This window comes from Homo sapiens, chromosome 17 (genome assembly GCF_000001405.40).
Source record: "Homo sapiens chromosome 17, GRCh38.p14 Primary Assembly".
NCBI lineage: Eukaryota > Metazoa > Chordata > Mammalia > Primates > Hominidae > Homo > Homo sapiens.
Window position 1 is genome coordinate 47,693,330 of NC_000017.11, and position 20,262 is coordinate 47,713,591.

Consider the following 20,262-nt stretch of genomic DNA (forward strand, 5'->3'; position numbering starts at 1 on the left):
AGCAAAAAACTTGTTTCTCTTGCCCAGCAGTTTGGCAGGTGCTCAAATAATCTTTGTGCACAGGGTGACATCTGTTGTTTCTTCATTTCCCTGACCTGTGGGTACTTGAGGGTGGCCGGGGAGTGGTGTGTGGGGAGGGAGATGGCTGTCCTTCTTCATGAATGAATCTTTGACCTCCTTAGTTTACTCTCACTTCCAAAGAAGTTACAGCTTTAATCTCTCTGTACCCTATGTTCAATGTATTTATCGCAGCAATGCCCCTTTTACCAAGAGCAACGAAGAGCAGGTCTAATGATTTCCTTCTCAAAAGCGCAAAGACCAAAAAAAAAAAAAAAAAGCCAGATAAATAGCCCCACTTCCTCCCCAAATATACAGCCCATAACTAAACAACCAAAACAACCAAAGCATCAGCCGGGCCCCTGCACTGACCGCAGACGCCCCCAACACACGCCACCACGCCACACTGCGCCGGGAGGCGTCGGGGAGGGGGCGCCAGCGCGGGCCGCTGGCGCCGCAGGGAGCCGGTGGGCTCCGGGCGCGCTGCCAGGAAGGGCCGCACCGTAGGGGCCGCCGCCTCTCGCCACGTGGTGGTGGCAGCGGCGGGGTCCGGGGCGCCTTCCCAGCTGGAGAAACCCGGAGCAGCCGGGGAGGAGGAGGCGGAGGAGGCGGCGGCGGCGGAGGAGGAGCGGGGCGGACGGGAGGGAGGGGGTTGGGGGGAGGGGTGGGGGGTGGGGAGAGACCCGGCGGCGGCGACAGGGCGAGGAGCAGAGCGCGGTACCAGGGGGGTGGGGGCACTGGTGCCCGTTTGGGGAGGGAGCAGGCGGAGGGGGTAAGCTGCGATTACAAGCAGGAACCGGCAGCAGCTGTGAGTCCCCGGCTGGGGCTAGGGCTGGGGGAGGGGAGCGGCGCCCGGGCTGGGCCCCAGGGGTCGCGGGGTGGGCAGGAGGAGGCGGCAGGAGGGCGGCTGGCAGCCGCACGGGATGGCTGGGAGGGAAGGGGTCCGGTGTCGGCCGCCCTCATCCCCTCGCGTCCCCCTCCGCCGCCGTTCCTCAGGCCGCGCCACTCCCGGAGCCCCTTCCCCGGCCCCGAGAGGGTGTCCGGGGGCCCAGGGCTCGGCCGGTTGTGGGGGAGGGGGCTGCGTGGTCTCGGCCCCCGAGAGGGGAGGGGCGACAATTTCTGTCGGCCGAGCGAAAGGGGTTTAAAGGGCGGCTCTTAAAGGGGCCGCAGGAGGGGCCCGGGCCGACAGAGGCACTCACCCCTTCCCCAGCCGCCTTCCATTGCGCTCACCCGGGCGCTGGGCCCAGAGAGGAATGCGGAGGAAGGAGGCATTTGTGGTGCGGCCTCGGGGACAGAGCCCCGCCAGCGGGGTGGGCGCAGAGGGGCGGGCGGGGGTCTGGGGGGGTGTGGTAAGCGCTGGCGCGCGGAGCTGGGGGGAGGGGATGGCGTGGGAAGGAGAGGGTTAAAGGTGGGGCCGGCCCTACAAACGCGCGCACACACTCCTTACTCAGACCCAGTCACTCGCGTTTCCCTGGCACTTAGATGGGCCTGTGGGTGGCGGAGGGGGGGGGGTGGATTGAATTGGAGCCTGCGCCGGAGCCCTTTGCACCCCAAGCTCCTGCAGCCCGACCTGGGGGCCCCGCTGTCTGAACTCACAGCTCCCTGCCGAGCCCCCTCTCCGGGGTGCACATAACGCTCCAGCGCGCGCACACACCTCGGACAGTCCCCTCGCGTCTCACGTGACACGCGGCCCGGACGTGCCACCCTGCCCACGCGCTCACGCACGCGTGCACACACCAGCCTCCTGGTCGCTGCCCCACTCCGTCCCGACGCCCCTGCGACCCCGAAGGCACTCATTGACTGACACACCTACACTCATTCACAGACGCACACTCCCCCCATACGCCAACCCCAGACACACATTCATAACCAGGCCCGAGAGAAGTACACACGCACCCCCTCACTGCCTACTCCTGCTTTCGGGAGCCTGAGTCATTCCTGCCCCCTCGTAGGGTTCCCCATTTCCCGGTGCGCGGGCACCCTGAGACAGCCTTGGGAATTCGTTCGCGTCCCCTTCCACCTGGGTCCCCTTCCCCAGTTTGCGCCCCGTAACACTCAGCCAAGGACTTCCTGTGGGTCCCAGGTCAGGGGCCAAGGGGTCCTGGACCGCTGCCACAGCCCCGGTGCGCCCGGGGGAGGCGCTTCCTTTTCCTGAACTCTGGGATCCTGCGGGAGGAAGTGGGGAAGTTGGGCGGGGGTGCAGCCGAGGGCGTGCCGACTGTGGAGGGGCCGACCCTCGCGCAGCTCTGGGCCTTCCTTGGGGAGGAGCTGGGGTGCCAGAGGCCCAGGCTGAGGAGCTTGGCGGCGAGGTATTTGGGGAAGTAAGGCCTGGGGTGGAGAAGCGCGGAGGAATGGGCCGGGCCCGGCTGGGAAGGCAGCCCTCTCCCATCCACAGGTCTCCCTGGGTTCTGGCAGGAGCCTGCCCCTGCTGCCGGCCTGGCTTACTTGTCCCTACTTGTCAACACCCTGGCAGCGGGGTCTTCACCTGGTTCCAGCCCCTTTTCCCCAAGGCGGCAGAGAGGATGGGGCTGAGGAGTCTGGGAAGGGGCCATGGGAGTCCCTGCTGAGCTCGGGGCAGGAAGTTTCTGGGTTGCATCTTAGCCGGCCCCAGGGAGTGCAGAGCCAGGGAGAGGGGTACCAGGGACAAACCCTAGACAGACGGCCCTGTCCACGGTTGCTCCTGCTCTCCTAGGAGGCCCCGTGTGGGCCGCGGCCCGGCCCTCACCATGGAGTCCATGTTCGAGGACGACATCAGCATCCTGACGCAGGAGGCCCTGGGGCCTAGTGAGGTGTGGCTGGACAGTCCCGGAGACCCCTCGCTTGGGGGCGACATGTGCTCCGCCTCCCACTTTGCCCTCATCACTGCTTACGGAGACATCAAGGAACGGCTGGGGGGCCTGGAGAGGGAGAACGCCACCCTCCGACGCCGCCTCAAAGTCTACGAGATCAAGGTCAGAACTTGGAGAGGAGGGCGCCTGATAGAGTGTATGGGATGGGGAGGGGGACTGGGAATCTGGTAGATACCAGGGATCCAAAAGAGGGGTCACTGTGCAGACTCTTGGGAACTTGAGGGTCTCCCATGAGAGACGTGGCTGTTCCGGATGCGAACTGTCTCCTGTTGGCTTCAGAAGGGCTGGATCTGGGATCTAAAACAGATCCGGTGGGTGGGAGATGGCTACAGACCCATGGGAATTGGGATCCCACTAGCCAAGGAGAAGGAGGGTCAAAGGTCTGAGGCAGGTTGTGGGTTGGGGGCACAGCCAGGCTGAGGCCTGGGCTGGGCACCCGGGAATCCACTCTCCTGAAGCTCCACCCCACCTGCAGTACCCACTGATCAGTGACTTTGGAGAGGAGCATGGCTTTTCTCTGTATGAAATCAAGGATGGCTCCCTGCTGGAGGTGGAGAAGGTCAGCCTGCAGCAACGGCTCAACCAGTTCCAGCATGAGGTGAGCCTACCAGGCTGGGCGCACCCCCTGAGCATCTTGCTCCAGTCTGTTTCTGATACCCTTCCCTCCACACCCCCCAGCATCTGGCCTCTGCCCTTTGATTAGAGATGGCCAGGTCCTCCCTAAGCCCAGCTGCAGCTCCTCCTGCCCCTCCATAGGGTGCTGGGAGTGGGGGTGGGGAGGTGCAGGGAGCTCTCCAACTCCAAGTCCAGTGTGGGACTGACCCTGTGGTGGGGCCCTCTGGGCCTCATCCAGTTACAGAAGAACAAGGAGCAGGAAGAACAGCTTGGAGAGATGATCCAGGCCTACGAGAAACTCTGCGTGGAGAAGAGTGACTTGGAGACAGAGCTGAGGGAGATGGTGAGGCCTGGGGAGCCGGAGGTGCTTGAGGATGTGTAGCTGGTTGTGTGTGTGCATGTGTGCATTTAGTTCTGTGTGTGAGGATTCCAGCCTGTGACAGTGCAGTCCCATGTGTCACACATCACTTGTTTGTGCCCTGCTTGTGTTCATGTGTATCTGTGAGTGCCCGCCCATTTGCCCTTGTGAGGGAGACTGCATGTGTTATCCATGTTGCGGTGTCTGTGTGCATCCTGGCCATGCAGTGGCCCCGTGGGAACCTCTGTCTCTGTGTGTATGCCTGGCTGTCACGCTGGGGTGACCCTGTGCCTGTGAGCACTGCCCTGGCTCTCACGCTGGGGTGACCCTGTGCCTGTGAGCACTGCCCTTGGGAGGCTGTGAGGGTGAGGGCAGAGGTGACCAGGAGTGTGTGACTGCTAGGATGGGCCTGTGCTTGGGTGTGCTTCCGAGTCAGGGTATGGCTGTGCCGGTGAGCAGGTCAAAATCAAGAGACAGGCCAGGTATGGTGGCTCACGCCTATAATCTCAGCACTTTGGGAGGTTAAGGAGTTTGAGACCAGCCTGGGCAACATAGTGAAACCCCATCTCTACAAAAAATACAAAAAAGAAGTTAGCCAGGTGTGGTGGTGCACACCTGTGGTCCCAGCTACTCAGGAGGCTGAGGTGGGAGGATCGCTTTAGCCCAGGAGATCGAAGCTTTGGTGAGCCAAGATCAAGCCACTGCACTCCAGCCTGGGTGACATAGCCAGACCCTGTCTCCAAAAAAAAAAAAAAAAAAAAAAAAAATCAGGAGACATGGTCTCAGCCAACCCTAAGCTATGACCTCAGTTAAGTCACTTAGCCTCCATCCCTCCTCTGAAAAGTGGGGCAAATATTAACACCCTCACCAGGTTGTGGTGAGGGTGATGGGGCATTCATGTATAGATGCTTTGCCTTCATAATCATAGATATTTATGTGGCACTCGGGGTGTGCCAGGCACTGTTCTTTTCACCTGGCATACACTAGCTCATTTTAATTCTCAAAACAACCCTAAGAGGTGAGTGTGGGACTGTTATCCCCATTTTATGGATCAGGTGGGTGAAGTCCAGAAGCTCTTGTCATGTATGCAAATGGAAGTTCTGATGCTCCTGAGGGGGGCTGGCCTCCAAACAGGGGGCTGAGTGTTCTTTTAAGTGTCCCTGTGTGTTAATGACAGAGCAGGGGCATTAACTTGACCTCGCCAGGGGCAACAGCCCGCAACAGCTGCATTGCGGTGGCTGAGAGGAGACTTTGCACTCACAGCCACTTGGAGAGTGGGCTTGGGATGTGTGACCTGGGGCCTCTGCTGTAGTCTGGGGTGATGACTCTCCAGACATGGGGAAGTCCTGGGCCTGTGCAGACCCTCCCCTCTGTCTCTCTCTCCAGAGGGCCCTGGTGGAGACGCACCTGCGTCAGATCTGTGGTTTGGAGCAGCAGCTGCGGCAACAGCAAGGCCTCCAGGATGCAGCCTTCTCCAACCTGAGCCCACCGCCAGCCCCCGCCCCTCCCTGCACTGATTTAGACCTGCACTACCTGGCACTGAGAGGGGGATCTGGCTTGAGTCATGGTGAGATCTCAGTGACCCCGACTTACCTCCTAGTCCCCAACCCCCATTTCAACATTCCTAGACACCTCGCACTTACTTACCATCCCATTTGTAATATAATCTATTTCTCCATAATCATCCCATCCTCCCTTACCTGCTGTCCCCTCACCTCACCCACTGTTACCCTAATTTCTCCCCTTCTAACTCGGTCATTCCTGATCACCTCGTTGCAATTCCTGTGCCTGCCAGCAGAGGGCGCCCCCACCCAGAGTCCCCCCGCCCCGTCTCTGGCTGTGACTAGGAGAGGCCCTTGCAGATGCTCTAGACTTGAGTCTGGCCAGTAAAGCCTTCAAGAGCCCATCTTATTTTTTTCCTGGCCTCCAGGAAAATTAGAAATGCGGCTCAGCCCATCTTTCCTCGCTGCCCTTGTCGCAGTCATCCCTCCTTGGCTAGCTGTCCTGGCTTCTCTCTTGGAGTCCCCATGCTGCATCCTCCTGTTTCACTCTGGCTCTGGGAGCTGGAGGAGGCAGCTGAGCTCGCCTGACGTTGTCCTGTCCACCGACAGCAGGCTGGCCGGGCTCCACACCCAGTGTGAGTGACCTGGAGCGGCGGCGGCTAGAAGAGGCTTTGGAGGCCGCGCAGGGAGAGGCCCGGGGGGCTCAGCTCCGGGAGGAGCAGCTCCAGGCCGAGTGCGAGCGGCTGCAGGGGGAGCTGAAGCAGCTGCAGGAGACCCGGGCCCAGGTAAATGCAGGGGCCTGGAACAGCTTCTGGAGGTCCAGGGCTGGGCCTTCCCCACTGTGTGCAGACTGGCCCAGGGAACTGTAGACAAGGGCCCTGGCAGGGGTGAGCTTGGGCTCTGACCTCTTCATCTTCTTCCTTAGGATCTGGCCTCCAACCAGTCGGAGCGAGACATGGCGTGGGTGAAAAGAGTTGGGGATGATCAGTAAGTCACATTGGTAACCCTGGTCCCTCCGTGATGTTTGGGAGACCTCCCCTCCCAGCCCTCAGGGGTGTGGTGTCTGGGCTGCTGTTGCTCTGTGTGCATCCTTCATAGGAAGGAGGTGGGGTTCTTTTTTTTTTTTTTTGAGATGGAGTTTCGCTCTTGTTGCCCAGGCTGGAGTGCAATGGCGTGATCTTGGCTCACCGCAACCTCTGCCTCTCGGGTTCAAGCAATTCTCCTGCCTCAGCCTCCCGAGTAGCTGGGATTACAGGCATGCACCACCATGCCTAGCTAATTTTTTTTTTTTTTTTGAGACGGAGTCTTGCTCTGTCACCCAGGCTTGAGTGCAGTGGCGCAATCTCGGCTCACTGCAAGCTCCGCGTCCTGGTTCACGCCATTCTCCTGCCTCAGCCTCCTGAGTAGCTAGGACTACAGGCGCTCGCCACTACGCCTGGCTAATTTTTTTTTGTATTTTTAGTAGAGATGGGGTTTCACTGCGTTAGCCAGGATGGTCTCGATCTCCTGACCTTGTGATCCGCCCGCCTCGGCCTCCCAAAGTGCTGGGATTATAGGAGTGAGCCACTGCGCCCGGACCTTTTTTTTTTTTTTTTTTTTTTTTTTTGGATTTTTAGTAGAGATGGGGTTTCTCCATGTTGGTCAGGCTGGTCTCGACTCCTGGGAGGTGGGGTTCTTGAGTGTTTGGGATCTGGGACATTCCCTTTGCTTTCCTCTGGGGCCCAAACCCATCTCTTCTGGAGATGCCAGGGCTAAGTGACACTTACTCGGCTGCTTTGTCGCTGTGTCCAGTGTAATGTCCCCTGCTGAGCTTTTGGGCCTCCGTAGGGCCCCATTTTCTATTCCAGTGACAAGGCCCGGCCAGTTGGGTTCACCCTCCCCTCCCTAGTGAGGAAGAGGGAGGTGGTGTTTCTTGGGATTTGTTGGGCCTTGTCTGCTGATCTCAGGAGAGAGAAGCCTGAGGCTTAGAGACAGGAGAGGTTTCCATGGGTTCACACAGCCGTGGGGTGGGGAGTTAGAATCTGCTCTGCTAGGGTACTCCCTTGAATCCTACCAAGAAAGGGGCAGCAGAGAGCGGCAAGGGAGCTGTGTTGGTGGGGGGCCCAGTGCTGGGGCCTCCAGGGGGGCACTGGACAGCAAGGGAGGGGTGAGCAGCCACCCGGCAACAGTGGAACCTGGTGCCTTTCACATCCGCACTGAACTCACCCTCTCCCACTTTCTGAGAAATAGAGCTCAAACCTCTTTCCGCCTAAGTCCTCTCCCCTAAGATGAGCTGTGTGGCACAGACTCCCTACTCTAATTGGAGGAGAAGACTGAGGCCCAGAGAGGGGCAGGAACTAACCCTCCACCGCATAGCATACCCAGCTCCGGGGCTCCGGAGGTCTCCTGCCCAGCAGGCTTCTTCCTTATCTGCCTCCCAGCTTCTGGCCAACTGGGGATACCCCTCGCCTACCTCCCTACCTAAGAGTGAGGGCTTGGGTGGAGCTGTGATAGCTGGGGAGGTGGTGAGAACCCAGTTTGTGGGACTGGTGGGTGGGACCCCTCAGCTAGGCCTTTGTGGAGAGGGTCCACCCTAGCTTGTGGCTGGAGCTTGGGGCCCATCATAGCCCATGTGCCCAGACCTGGAACACACAGACACACACAGACACACACACACACACACACACACTCTCTCTCTCTCTCTCTCACACTCTCCAATCCTAGCTTGCCCCAGAAGTCATGATGTAGGGCCCTTCATGGGTCACTGAACCCAGTCCCCTCTTACCAGACCAGCAGTGAATCTCCCTGAATTGGTAGAACTCCAAGGGAGGACATTTTGGTGGGGCTGGAGTCTGGCTCTTCAGGTTTTGAATCCCAGGGGCCTTTCTTTACTGACTTGGACTCTACCTCTCTGGATCCAGTTTCCCTCACAGGCTCAGGGGCCAGTCATTGCTGAGAGATGGGAGAGGAAGGTGAGGCGGTGGGTAGAAGCAGAGAAGGGGCAGGGCTCCCAGGGGCCAAGGTTGTATTGTGTGAGTGAAAGGAAGCCCACCCTATAAGGGGCTAGGAGGCCGTATCATCCACGCTGCCCATTCTGGCAAGAGCAGCCCCTTCCCTCTCTCTCTCAAGGCTCCTGCCCTTCTCAGGCCCTTTGGCTGGAGGGAGCTGGCCTCTGCTTGGGGGCTGGCCCCACAGGCTTACTGGAGGCCACCTCCTGGCTCCTCCCCTCCTTCCCTGTGATTAGGCTCTGCCTCCAGCCTCCCAGATCTCTGCATCTGGAGCCAGCCAGGCTCTGCTGCCCAGCCACACGCTTCCTTTCAGGCCGAGCGAGCATCTCTGGACAGCCCTAGTTTGGCGAGCGTTAATTCTCAGAGGAAGTCCTCACTACCCCGATAGTTTTATTTTCTTATAAACTCAGCTCCTTTTGGTAATAGGCTGCTTCCCGAGTGCTCCCTCCCCTGTCCTTCCACCCAAGGAAGCCTCAGTCACTTGCTTTCAGCTCCTCTTCCCCCACTAGTGCCCCTCTTTCTTCTGTTTCCACCTGACTTTCCAGGCTGGTGGGAATTTTACAAGTAGGCTTTTCCGGGAGTGGAGTGAGTGTCGAGGCTGGATGACCCAGGTTTGGGGTGTGATTGGGGTGAGGAGGACCAGGATATGAAGGCTGAAGAGGGGTACACCCAATTCCTGAGTCCAGCCCACTCTTAGGCGGGAGTCTTCTGTATGGTGAACTCTGTATGTATGTATGCCCACCTGTCTTGGTCTAGACACCTCCGGGGCAGCCAGTTTTATTGCGGGAGTCCTCAAGGTTAACCGCCCCCACCCCCATCTCTATTAATTCCCTTCTCTGGATCCTAGCCCCAGCCCCAGGGTTTCCCAGTTCCTTCCCTCCCAGCCCCTGGCCCACAAGTTCTGGCCATTAACGTTCCCACGAAAACAGACACCCAGACCAGACCGAGGCAGACTACTACCCTCCAGGTCTGACCCCCTGGGAAACCCATGGTTTGGTTTGCCCAGCTCCTGGGGACAGAGCCCAGGGAGACAAATTGCCCCAGAGGAAGAGCCACTGGGGGTCACGCAGAGGCCAAAGGCAGTGATGAGGGAGGCGGTGGGAGCAGAGCCCACCCTGCTCCTGAGGATGCACAGGGAGGTAAAGACCCTGACCCTTGGGGGGTTCCCAGCCCAGGTGGAAGGCGCAGCACCCACAACCCCCTTCTCTCTGGGCCCAGCTCCCCAGCCTGGGGTTCCAGAGTGGGGCCTTTTGGAGGGTATGGCCGTGCTGAGGGGGAGGGGAAATGCGGGGGGGGGAACTTCTTGAAGGGGATGAGGGCTCCGAAGGGACAGGGGGTCTGTGAGGGGAATAAGGGCCCGGTAAGGGAGGGTGGGCTCATCTGTGCGGGGTCCATCTGGGAGAAGATGGGGACTCAGTATGGGCGATGAGGAAAAAACTATAGGCCTTTCTTTCTTCCCAACGTTGGGGGCTCAGCGCTGCAGCCCGGGCCCTTTTCCGCACCACCTCCCCCCCCACCCCTCTCTCCACCCACAAGCCTCTGCGTGGGCTGCGGTTAGTGGTGGGAAGAAGTGTGAACTCGAGAGAGAGGATGGAAACTCTGCACGGAGGTCAAGGGCAGCGTGGGGTGGGTCAGGACGGAAGTCGGAGACCCCCGCATACCCTGAGCGTAGCCTCATGCCCCAGAACCAGCAGGCCCAGGGCCTCCCCCTTCACGCTTCTCACCCTCCCTACTTCCTTTCTTTCAAGTCTCCTTCGGCCAGGGCACCCGCGCTGCACTCACAGGAGTTAACCCCTGAGCACTTGCAGCCTCGGGGGCTCCCAGAGGCTAGGTGGGTCTGAGGGATGTGTGGGCTTTCAGCCCCAGTCCTTGGTGCTTTGCCTGCCAGCAGGGTGGGGAGCAGCTCATGCCAGCGCCCCCTCCCTCGATGGGAAACGCCCATCTTCCCTCCTTAAACCGAAGCCACTAGGCTGCTGTCTCCAAAAAAAGGCTCAAAACAAGTTTCCCCCCTTCTCCACCTATCTGCTAGGCACTCCCCTGAAATTTTTTTTTTTTTTTGTCCATGCCAGACACTATGCGAGGTGATTTACCTACAAAATCTCATTTCATTCTCACAAACGTGATGTAGGTATTGTCCCCCTTTTACAGATGAGCAAACTGAGGTGCAGGGAAGTGAAGTAATCTGAGAGTTCAGTAAGAAATTCAGTGCAGATGCCAAGTGGGTCCTGAGCAGATCGGGTGATGGCACCTCTGCGGTGTGTTTCTGGTTCAGGTTCTTCTTCAGGTAGAAAGCCCTTATATGAGGGGCAACCGTGTGATTTGTTGACCAGACTGGATCACTTTTGAAAGTGAAAGGGGGCACTATTAATAATTATGCTGGGGCAACTAGCGTGAACTGGGACAGTCCTAGGCAAACTGGGATCTCTGGGCACCCCACCTATGTAGGAACCCTGGTTTCCAGGCCTACCCCTGAGCTGCTCCAATCAGCTGCATCTGGGAAGCTTTCTAGACCCGGGATGTCAGCTCTGGTGGATTCGTGGCAGGGGCTGCCATGAAGAGCCAGGCTCTGGGGACCCCACCAGTCATAGCTGGTCGAGGAGAGAGAAGGGGCTCAAGGCGCCCGAAAGGAAGTGGTGGAGCACTGGGTTGTTGCAAAGCAACTTCCTCCTCCCCGCCGGCCCGCAACCTCAAGTCCGTTCCACGGCCCGGTGCCTGTGGTCCCCTCCCCGAGGGTCGGGCGGGAAGACTGATGCTGGGTGTGCCTGTGGGTGGTGGAAAGTTTGGTCCCTAAATTATCCCACAGGGGTGAGGTGGCTGGGGCAGCTGGGGGCAGCTTTGAGCAAGGATGGAAGGGCCCTGGAAGGTTGGATTTCTGTTTTCCTCCCAATTCTGAATCAGACGATGATTCTGACCACATGGACAGCTCTAAACCTAACCCTAATCCTAACCCTTTTACTGCTCCCGTCCCTGACTCTAACCCTATCCCTGATCCTGACCTTCAGCTCTGTCCACAATCTTGGCCACGTGCTACATCAACCCCACTCCTAGTCTGACCCTGGCTCCTTTAATCCTGTCCTCAAGGCAGTCCCCAGCTTTATCGTTTCCAGAAGTGTGTGAGATCTGTGAATTATTCGTGGAAAGACTGAATGAAAGGATGCGAAGCGTGGAATATTTGCAGCCCAGGGGGCCCTCCTTCCTGCCAGCTCTGCCATTTGCTCTCTGGCTCCTCCGAAGTTGCCAGCTTGGCAGGCTGAGGTGCCAAGAACCTGTGTTTGAATCTGCTGTGTGCCACTGCCACTCTGTGACCTTGAGCCAGCCTCTTAATCGCCCTGATTTTCTACTTCCACATGTGTCTAGCACCTTCCTATCACCCCCAGGGAAGGGGTGGTGATTCTCAGGGCTTCCAGGCCACTGCCAAGGTCCCCAGTCCCCTCCTCCTCTTCGTCTTTCCCTTCTGTTGCTGCCTTGCCTTTCCTCTCCCCTCCTTCCCGCTTCTTTGGGGGACGTTATAGCATGATGGTCAGTAGCCTGGACTTTGGAGTCTAGGGGGCAGAGCTCCCATCCCAGCAACTCCATTGCTAGTAGGCTTTATGATTTTGGTCAAGTAACTTAACCTCTGTAAGCCTCAGTTTTCTCATCTGTAAAATGAAGGTAACAGTGGCAATGCCGTAGGGTTGTTGTGGAGATGAATAAAGTTCTCAGCAGAGTGCCTGGCCCCGGGGTGAGCACTCAAACAGATCATCCGATTCTTTTCTCTCTGGGTGCCTCCCAGGTTTTGAAAGACTCAGAACTTTCTCCTGTCATGTAAGCAATAAAGCAGCATCCAAATGCAGCCATCTGCTGCCACTTACCTGACCCATTCTTCCCAAGCAGTCATGATGGTGAAAAAGCACTCAGGTGTGGGCCAGGAAGCCAGGAAATGGAATGTGTATTTCGGTGCACGTGTGCAACTCTTGGTTGTGTTGTGAAGTTGAGATTTTTTTTTCCACTGAATTGGCAGTGTTTTCAGTGAGTCATTCAGGTCGTTAGCATCTTCAGCGGCCCAGGCCTGTGCATCTTGAGATGGAGAGAGACACCCAATGAAGGGGGAGGTCCCAAAAGGCCATGGGGCATCAGGAGGAGGTCAAGTCAATCACCTTGCCGGGGACTTAGCAGTCTTTGTGAGGGTTGCCTGAAGTTCTGGGTGGACAGAACCCACCTGCCTCAGGCCCCAGGTGGCAGAGCTGGGAGAGGGGCTGGGCATTGTGGGCCAGGGCTTCTTCCTTCCATTTTCAGCCACCCTGTCTGTTTCACTGTGAGAAGGATGCCAGGGGCTGGGTGGTAGAAACTGGGGTAGCTCCTGACAAGGGGAGGGAGGCAAGCAGGGGAGTGACAGGGACCTGGGAACTGAGTGTGGCAGGTGAAATCTCTGAGGCGGGGTGTGAAGACGACGACCTGTATCTGTCGCCTGAGATACAGCAGTGAAAATGGATGGTGAGAGAAGCTTTGGCTATGTGGACAGAGGACCACACTCTGTCTGTGCCCTGCCCAGAGCCCTCTCCTTCCCCTGCTGCCAAGGAGATAGCACGATCCTGCCCTCCAAAAACCGCCAGTCTGATGGGGGACACACAGCTCCTGCCCACAGATGTCCTCAGTCTGAAGGGGAAGCCTTCCCTTGGGGAGTCCCCAATTTGACGTGGGACACACCTGGACCTCCCAGTCTGATGGGGGAGATGCCATTTCTTCCCACAGACCCATGAGCTGAGGATGAGGGGGCACAGGACACATTTAACAAAAACAAGGGCTGAGATGTGATGGGATGGAGGCTGCAGGGTCTCAGCAGCAGCTTCTGGGACTCCTTCCTCTCTGCCTGCCCAGCCCTGCTCACCATCAGATGGGTGGCGAGGACTCCCTCCCTAAGAAGAGGGCTGTCTCCCAGAGACCTGGCCCATTTGCAGTAATTTGGCTTTGGCCCAAGTGGGTTAAAAATAGTCTTGTGGGAGGGGCAGTTTCTGCCCCAGGATTAGTAAGAGACAGCCAGTGAGCGACAGCAGGGAGCCTAGTCATTATCTACCCTCTCCACCTCTCTTTTCCTGCCCTCTGAAGCCCTAACCTCACGACTTCCCCTCCTCTCCTTTAGGGTTAGACTTAGACACACACACACACACACACACACACACACACACACACACACGCACACACCCCTACGCTCATTCACGCCTTTCCTCATTCATCAGCCTGGCCTCACACCTCTCTTCACACTCTCCCATCCACATGTCCATCACTATGGGATGGGGACAGGGCCCTCCAGGCTTAAGAACTTGAGCCCCCTTGTCCTGGGACAAGACCTCCCCTGGGAAGAGATCTGTGTGGAGTGACACCTGGTATTTTCTCCCAGCTCCATCTTCCACTAAGTTCCCCGAGTCCCTTCTGGAGCTGGAGGTGGGGAGAGCCAAAGAAACCTAAATCTCTGCCTTCAGGGAGATTCAAGGCTCTGTCCACACTCAGAACAGTGATGAAGGCAGGGCCCAAGGGCATGGCAGAGCTTCCCATGAGGTCAGGGAGGGCTCCTGGGGCCGTGCAGGCCACAGTGGGAGAAAGCAGAGAGCAGTGGAGTGATGACCTTCCATGGTTCTGGGTTGCAAGTGACCTAGAGATAAAGGAAGTGGGTGAGGTTCCTTGCCAAGTCTGTTCCAGCTCCATGAGGGTGGGTGCCCAAGATGCCTGAACAGGAAGCAGGGAGGAAGAAAGGGAAGGAGAAAGAAAAATGGAGGGAGAGGCTCAAATGCATTATCCACTTACTGAACATCTGCTGGGTTCCAGGCCCTGGACAAGGTGGTGGGAATATAAATACAATGACGTAATCCTCACCATCAAGAAACTTCCCATAAAGTTCTAGAACAAGGCAGCCTTTGAGAAGTGCCTGGTGTGACTGGCACTCACTGCAAGTGTGCAGTGTACAGCAGCTGTTCACAAAGATCTCAGTGTTAAGGCCCTGGTGGAGTTGTACAGCAAGGAGGTCCTGGGAGGGGCAAAGCTGAAAAGAGCCCAGAGGCAGCTTTGAGGTCGAGCCAGGTGCAGTGGACATGGAATTGGGCTGGCTTGGGGTTAAGTTTATCAGTTAGCACCTCCACCAGCCAGGAAACCATCTTCACTTATGGAACGAGCTATTCTATGCAGCAGGGTCCCCAACCTTTTCAAAGGTGAGGACTCTTCATGGATCCCACTCCCAGTACACAGATTATAACACTTTTAGTATGCATTGCTTGAGAAAATTCACAGTGACAGAAGCTACTATAAATTCAGTACAGCTTTTTGATGAATCGGTGCTTTAATTCATCATCACAGCTTTTGCACAGATTAGAAAAACATTCACACATACCTGTATGAGCTGTGTTCAGACCACGGACAGTGCCTGATGCAGGGATTCAGGGAGCCCTTGGAATCTCTCTGCTCCCTGTCCCTGCACTTAGGCTGGGAACCACTGCCCTAGCCCAGGGAATGGGTCTCAGGATGCAGAGGGAGTCTCCCTGGAAGAGGTGGCTTTTGAGCTGGACCTTAAAGGTAGGGAGGATTTCTGCAATTGGGGTAGGAGGGCCCTGCGGGTGGGAGGGAGCATGGTGGGGCCAGATGCTGGGGTAGAGCCAGTTCTTCCTCCACAGCTGGGACGGTAGACCCACTGCCCTTCTCGTCTTTCCCACTGCCCTCTGACTTCAGGGTGAATTTGGCGCTGGCCTACACCGAGCTGACGGAGGAGCTGGGCCGGCTTCGGGAGTTGAGTTCCCTACAGGGGAGAATCTTGAGGACTCTGTTGCAGGAACAGGCCCGGAGTGGCGGTGAGATGGGGCAGGGCAGGGGGAGGCAGCCGCGGGACCCGGGAAGGAGCGGGTAGCCATGGCAACCATCTTGGTCATGGGGACCACCCTTTATTTCCTTTCCTGTGGCCTGGAGTTGGTGGGCATGGGTCCGGGCAAGCCCCTGGCGCTCCAGTTCTGAGGTCTTCTCTCTGCACCTTTGTCCCCCCACCCCGTCCCGGTTTCTCTTCCAGGCCAGAGGCACTCGCCGCTGTCACAACGCCACTCCCCGGCCCCCCAGTGCCCCTCCCCCTCCCCGCCTGCCCGAGCGGCTCCCCCGTGCCCCCCGTGCCAGTCCCCCGTCCCCCAGCGCCGCTCTCCCGTGCCCCCGTGCCCCTCGCCGCAGCAGCGCCGCTCTCCGGCCTCACCCTCCTGCCCGTCGCCCGTCCCGCAGCGCCGCTCGCCGGTGCCGCCGTCGTGCCAGTCCCCCAGCCCGCAGCGCCGTTCCCCGGTGCCCCCCAGCTGCCCGGCCCCGCAGCCCCGGCCACCGCCGCCGCCCCCGCCGGGCGAGAGGACGCTGGCCGAGCGCGCCTACGCCAAGCCGCCCAGCCACCACGTGAAGGCCGGCTTCCAGGGCCGCCGCAGCTACTCTGAGCTGGCGGAGGGCGCGGCCTACGCGGGCGCCTCCCCGCCCTGGCTGCAGGCCGAAGCGGCCACTCTCCCCAAGCCCCGGGCCTACGGCAGCGAGCTCTACGGCCCTGGCAGGCCCCTCAGCCCGCGGCGCGCCTTCGAGGGCATCCGGCTGCGCTTCGAGAAGCAGCCGTCGGAGGAGGACGAGTGGGCTGTGCCCACCAGCCCGCCCAGCCCGGAGGTGGGCACCATCCGCTGCGCCTCCTTCTGCGCGGGCTTCCCCATCCCCGAGTCGCCCGCCGCCACCGCCTACGCCCACGCCGAGCACGCGCAGTCCTGGCCGTCCATCAACGTGAGTGGGGCGCCCGCGTTCCGCCCACCCCGGACCGGGCCTTGAGATTGAGACCCCAGCGCCTCACCCTCCGTTGAGGGCCTTGCCCCTTTCGGGTGTCAGCGCACAAACTATTCACCCTCCTTGGACCCCGGGCCACAGTCTAGGTCCTTTCACCTCCCTTTCCCGTGGTCTTCTGTCACCAGAAATTGGGGCCTGCCCCATTAAGATTTCGTTCATTTCCTTGGATAAGGATATGGATTTTGGAGTGAGTGACAGTTCTGCCTTTGATTCCAAACTCCACCGCTTAATAGCTGTGGGACCTTGTGCAAGTTACTTATCCTCTCTGATCCTCAATATTCTCATCTGCAAAATGGGGACAATGATTATAGTATCTGACTACCTTACAGGGTTCTTAAGAAGCAGGCAGTGAGCCTAAAGTGGTCAGCACAGTGCCTGGCTCAAGCACCTGCTATTATATTGGCTGTGGTGATGGTGGCTACTGACCATAGCAGGCCACCAGCCAACACAGGAACAGGCCTGTTTATCCAGCTCCCTTCTTCAGGCCTCAGAGCCCTTGCCCTTTTCTGTCTGTCCTGAAAGACAGAAGCCTATCTCAGGGCTCAATCATTTCACTGAAATAATGAGTTCCCTGAATGTCAGAGCCACCCATTGTAACCTGGAAAGACCAAAATATACTCCAAAGCCAGACAGAAAATTATTTTGGGGTTGTACCTTGTTTAGGATCGTACATTGCTTTGAGTTATCCGGGAGCTGTCTTAGTCACTCTGGGGGCATGTCTGGGTCTTGGCTTCTCTCATTACCACAGATGCCCTGGCAAGCTTAGCAGTGACTCTCTCATACCTGCCTCCTGGGGACCCTGTCCCTGGGCAGGGGGGTGGACACTGAGCTGGTGTGGGGGAGGACGGTGCTGAAGAAAGGGTGGCTGGACCCCTCCTGCATGCCACAGCCCTCCCTGCCCTGGGTCCTGGGACAGGGCAGGCTGGGATGTGGGGACCATGGGTGGGGGCTGGGGACCATAAGTGACTTCCTTCTCTCTCGACAGTTGCTGATGGAGACGGTGGGCTCCGACATCCGCAGCTGCCCCCTCTGCCAGCTGGGTTTCCCTGTCGGGTACCCGGATGATGCCCTCATCAAACACATTGACTCCCACCTGGAGAACAGCAAGATCTAGGGCACCAGCCCCACCCACTGGCTGTTTCTCCGTCCTCTCCTATCACCCCCAAACACTCACTTTGAATGCTGCATGAATCTCGTGGGGGGTCCCTGCCCTTGCGACCCCCAGATACCTCCACTTGCTACCGAGTCAACGTGTGTGCCATCTTCCCTGGTCCAGGCACCACTCAGCTCTGGCTCTTCCTGGGAGGTCAGCCGAGGCTCCCCCCATGCTCCTGGTTTCTGCTTAGGAGGTGGGGACTTGGGCTGGGATGGGGACGGCATACCCCTCCCAGGCCTCTCCCTCTGCCTTTCTGTTCTTAATCAGGGTTGGATCCAAGAAGGTGTCCAGTGCTTGGGCCTGGGGTGGGGGGAAGGTGTTAGAGGACTCCAGGAGCTCCTGCACCCCTCCCCAAATGTCCATCTTTCTCAGACGGGGCTCTGTCTGGGGAGCACCCACAGGCTGCCTTTGGGGTCCCAGAGCCTGCTCTGTGCACTGACCCCAGTTCCTCCATCCTGTGGCCAGCCTAGGGCTCATGGCATGGGCCCCCACTGGGGGAGGGAGGCATCTTGTTTCTTGTGGTTCCCTGCAGGCCAGTCCTGTCCTCCTTTCCCTGTTCTGCCCACTCTGGGGAATAGGGAGGGGAGGAGAGGAGAGGAGAGGGAGGATCCTGGAGGACTGGGAAGATCTAGCCTAAAGAGGCTTCTCTGAGGGCCAGGGCCCTACAGCATGCCCCTACGGCCAGGGGACTGTCTGCCAGCCTCCCAGGCCCATGCCCTCCTGGTGCCCCTGGCACTGAGGCACAGATCGTCAAGGCAGGTACCCCCTCAACCCTTCTTCCACTGGAGCCCCTGACACCACAGGTGCCCTGGAGCCCTTGTGTGACTCAGCCTCTGTTAGCTGGGTGGGTGTCATCAGCCCCTGCCTCCCAGGCCAGAACCTGAGAACGGGCCCAGGGTGCTGTGGAGATCAACTTCAAAAGAGCTAACCCCTTCCCACACTCCACCCACCCACCTACATTTCCTCTGTGAAATCTACCTCAGAGTTGTACCCTCAGAAGGACGGGTAAGCAGGAGGCCAGGGGGTCCCCAGGGCTGAGGTGGGGAGCCTTCTACGGCGAAAGCCTGCCACCCCACAATGAATCCACCCTGCTCCACTGCGCGCCTCTCCCAGGTCTCAGCTCTGGGTGGGGAGCAGTGGCCGCTACCGACAGCGCATGTCCCGCTCTTATCCAACTCTTCCAGGCCCCACCTCCCTGCACCCCTCCCCTCTATAGAGCAGGGGAGTGAAGGGGTATGTCAGGCGGGGAAGGGGCCAAGGACACGTCATTGTACCCTGAGCGTCCCCAGGGAGTGGAAATGGGGAAGGGGGCCTGGAGAGGGGAGGCAGGGGCCCCTGTGCTCTCTGAACAAGTTGAAAGTCCAAATAAAACTTACCTGTTCCATCTGTGCTCAATCTGTGCCCTCTGTGGCTGGGGGCAGGGCGGGGGACGGGTAGAGCCCTTGGTAGCAGGAGGTCTTGGAAAGTGTGTCTCAAGGGACTGTGACCATGGGAGGTAGACACTGGGCAAGTAGGGGATGCATGGGGCACCCACATTCAGAGCGGTTCTGGAGGTTCAGATGTGTAAGTGGTTGCAGATGACTTGTGGCACGGCAGTCATTAGAACAGATAGATACAAAGCAGTCACCCAGCCCTGAGCAGGCCTCTTGAATTTCCCACCCAGTAGGTCTGGCCAGTCAAGGTTCTAAAGCCTTGGGGTTTATCAGTAACAGTTATGTATTCATCAAATGATTTCTGCTTGTCAGGAACCAGGCTGGGGCCTCAAAGAGGAAGAACATCCGTGTTCCATGTCCTCATGGGTCTAAGAACAGGGGAGGGGCTGGGTTCCAGGCTCAGCAGCTGCCTCGGAAGTCCCACAGCCTGAAAAGTCAGAGCTGGGTCATGAACCCATGACTTCTGCCCCAGCCGGGGCTGTGCCCTGTGTCTGCAAAAAGTGCTTCAGTGACTTGTTCATCAACTGGGTGCCTTTCTCTTCCATGTGGCCATTTTTGGTCAATGGTTCACTTAAAAACAAAAAGGGGACAAAGGCAATTGCTCATTGAAGGTGTGAGGTTCAGCTCTAGACCCAGGGCAAATGTGCCTTCCCATTCAGTGCCAAAGTCCAGACCCCCATGGGAAGACTTCCCAGCTGCCCTGGGTTCTCTGTTGCAGTTAACAACTATGCTGCCCTCTCAAAGTTCATCCAAGCTCAATTGTGCCCGTGGCCAAGTTCTGAGTGCCAGGAGAAGTTTGACCAGCCTTCCCTATGTGACATGGGTTCACAGCCCTGGGAAAGAAGGTTCTGGAACCTTTGGCACATGGGTGCCCGTGTAGTGCCCCCTGCTATTTCTCCACCTCCATGGAGGAAGGCAGCACCCGAGTTTCTGGACCTGGGTGCCATTTGGATCTTTGGAAGCACTTAGGAGATGTGCATGAATGAATAAGGGTGGTCTAGGGACACATGAGGCAAAGAGAAATCCTGCTGTTGAGAAAAGGCACAAAGGATGGCTGGGAATGAGAGCACAGAGGCAGGGGGATGACCCAGGTAACCACTGCTGGTCCTTGAGTATGTCTGAAGGTGGGAGGGAACCCAGGTGTCCTGCAACCTGGACATTCCCCTGTCACCAGGGTGAGGGGGAGTGTGGGGACACAGGGCGCAGGTTCTGGCAGCTTGTCTCCTTGATTTCTAGGGGCCTGGGAGACGGCTCAGGTGCAGGGCGGAAAGTTGCTGGGGGCTGGGAGGGAAGGCTGGGAAGGAGAGAAAGCTAGCGTGCCCCAGCCTTTCCTCTAATCCTCCCCCTCACCCCTGCCACCAAAAGGAGAGGACATGGTGTGGGGAGATGGGGAAGGGCTAGGGAGCCCTGCCAGTCCTTCTCTCAAGGGCTGTGATCATGGAAGGACACTTGATATGCATTACTCTGTGGAGACAGGGAGGCAGGGCACT

At 58.4% G+C, this 20,262-nt stretch overlaps 1 protein-coding gene across 11 annotated transcripts, besides 8 other annotated features; it reads left to right on the forward strand.

Annotated features, from left to right (window-relative positions):
• Positions 587–1,267: an enhancer, noted in NCBI's record as "H3K27ac hESC enhancer chr17:45771282-45771962 (GRCh37/hg19 assembly coordinates)". NCBI's record gives its function as "activates a minimal SCP1, AML or CMV promoter by ChIP-STARR-seq in naive H9 embryonic stem cells {active_cell/tissue: H9 hESC(naive)}" and the evidence as "EXISTENCE:reporter gene assay evidence [ECO:0000049][PMID:30033119]".
• On the forward strand, positions 734–18,734 carry TBKBP1 (TBK1 binding protein 1). 11 transcript variants are annotated; one of them, XM_047437156.1, is made up of 10 exons: positions 734–774; positions 2,750–3,008; positions 3,382–3,504; positions 3,760–3,864; positions 5,266–5,446; positions 5,994–6,166; positions 6,307–6,368; positions 15,065–15,183; positions 15,396–16,123; positions 17,169–18,734. In XM_047437156.1, exons 2-10 carry the CDS (start codon positions 2,784–2,786, stop codon positions 17,295–17,297), a joined length of 1,845 nt encoding a protein of 614 aa, XP_047293112.1. In that variant the 5' UTR covers positions 734–774; positions 2,750–2,783; the 3' UTR covers positions 17,298–18,734. The 11 variants fall into 11 exon arrangements, with proteins under 11 accessions (XP_047293112.1, NP_001381685.1, XP_005257918.1 ...); NM_001394756.1 differs by having other exon boundaries at positions 5,991–6,166; positions 17,169–18,723; XM_005257861.5 differs by lacking the exon at positions 734–774 and adding an exon at positions 832–1,334 and having other exon boundaries at positions 5,991–6,166.
• Positions 1,051–1,180: a silencer, noted in NCBI's record as "silent region_8636". NCBI's record gives its function as "represses an Ori minimal core promoter by ATAC-STARR-seq in GM12878 lymphoblastoid cells {active_cell/tissue: GM12878}" and the evidence as "EXISTENCE:reporter gene assay evidence [ECO:0000049][PMID:35858748]".
• Positions 1,268–1,947: an enhancer, noted in NCBI's record as "H3K27ac-H3K4me1 hESC enhancer chr17:45771963-45772642 (GRCh37/hg19 assembly coordinates)". NCBI's record gives its function as "activates a minimal SCP1, AML or CMV promoter by ChIP-STARR-seq in naive H9 embryonic stem cells {active_cell/tissue: H9 hESC(naive)}" and the evidence as "EXISTENCE:reporter gene assay evidence [ECO:0000049][PMID:30033119]".
• Positions 1,431–1,490: a silencer, noted in NCBI's record as "silent region_8637". NCBI's record gives its function as "represses an Ori minimal core promoter by ATAC-STARR-seq in GM12878 lymphoblastoid cells {active_cell/tissue: GM12878}" and the evidence as "EXISTENCE:reporter gene assay evidence [ECO:0000049][PMID:35858748]".
• Positions 1,948–2,628: an enhancer, noted in NCBI's record as "H3K27ac-H3K4me1 hESC enhancer chr17:45772643-45773323 (GRCh37/hg19 assembly coordinates)". NCBI's record gives its function as "activates a minimal SCP1, AML or CMV promoter by ChIP-STARR-seq in naive and primed H9 embryonic stem cells {active_cell/tissue: H9 hESC(naive and primed)}" and the evidence as "EXISTENCE:reporter gene assay evidence [ECO:0000049][PMID:30033119]".
• Positions 2,273–2,432: a silencer, noted in NCBI's record as "fragment chr17:45772968-45773127 (GRCh37/hg19 assembly coordinates)". NCBI's record gives its function as "represses an EF-1alpha promoter that drives an FKBP-Casp9 reporter gene in an ReSE screen in K562 erythroleukemia cells {active_cell/tissue: K562}" and the evidence as "EXISTENCE:reporter gene assay evidence [ECO:0000049][PMID:32094911]".
• Positions 9,821–9,940: an enhancer, noted in NCBI's record as "active region_12315". NCBI's record gives its function as "activates an Ori minimal core promoter by ATAC-STARR-seq in GM12878 lymphoblastoid cells {active_cell/tissue: GM12878}" and the evidence as "EXISTENCE:reporter gene assay evidence [ECO:0000049][PMID:35858748]".
• Positions 10,975–11,074: a silencer, noted in NCBI's record as "silent region_8638". NCBI's record gives its function as "represses an Ori minimal core promoter by ATAC-STARR-seq in GM12878 lymphoblastoid cells {active_cell/tissue: GM12878}" and the evidence as "EXISTENCE:reporter gene assay evidence [ECO:0000049][PMID:35858748]".
• Positions 18,735–20,262: the final 1,528 nt, after the last annotated feature.

Bases quoted from the DNA above. Each gene is read 5' to 3' on its own strand.
- TBKBP1 (NM_001394756.1), top strand. From the start codon at position 2,784: ATGGAGTCCATGTTCGAGGACGACATCAGCATCCTGACGCAGGAGGCC. The intron at 3,009-3,381 runs GTCAGAACTTGG...CCCCACCTGCAG, and splicing joins TCAAAGTCTACGAGATCAAG to TACCCACTGATCAGTGACTT. The intron at 3,865-5,265 runs GTGAGGCCTGGG...CTCTCTCTCCAG, and splicing joins AGACAGAGCTGAGGGAGATG to AGGGCCCTGGTGGAGACGCA.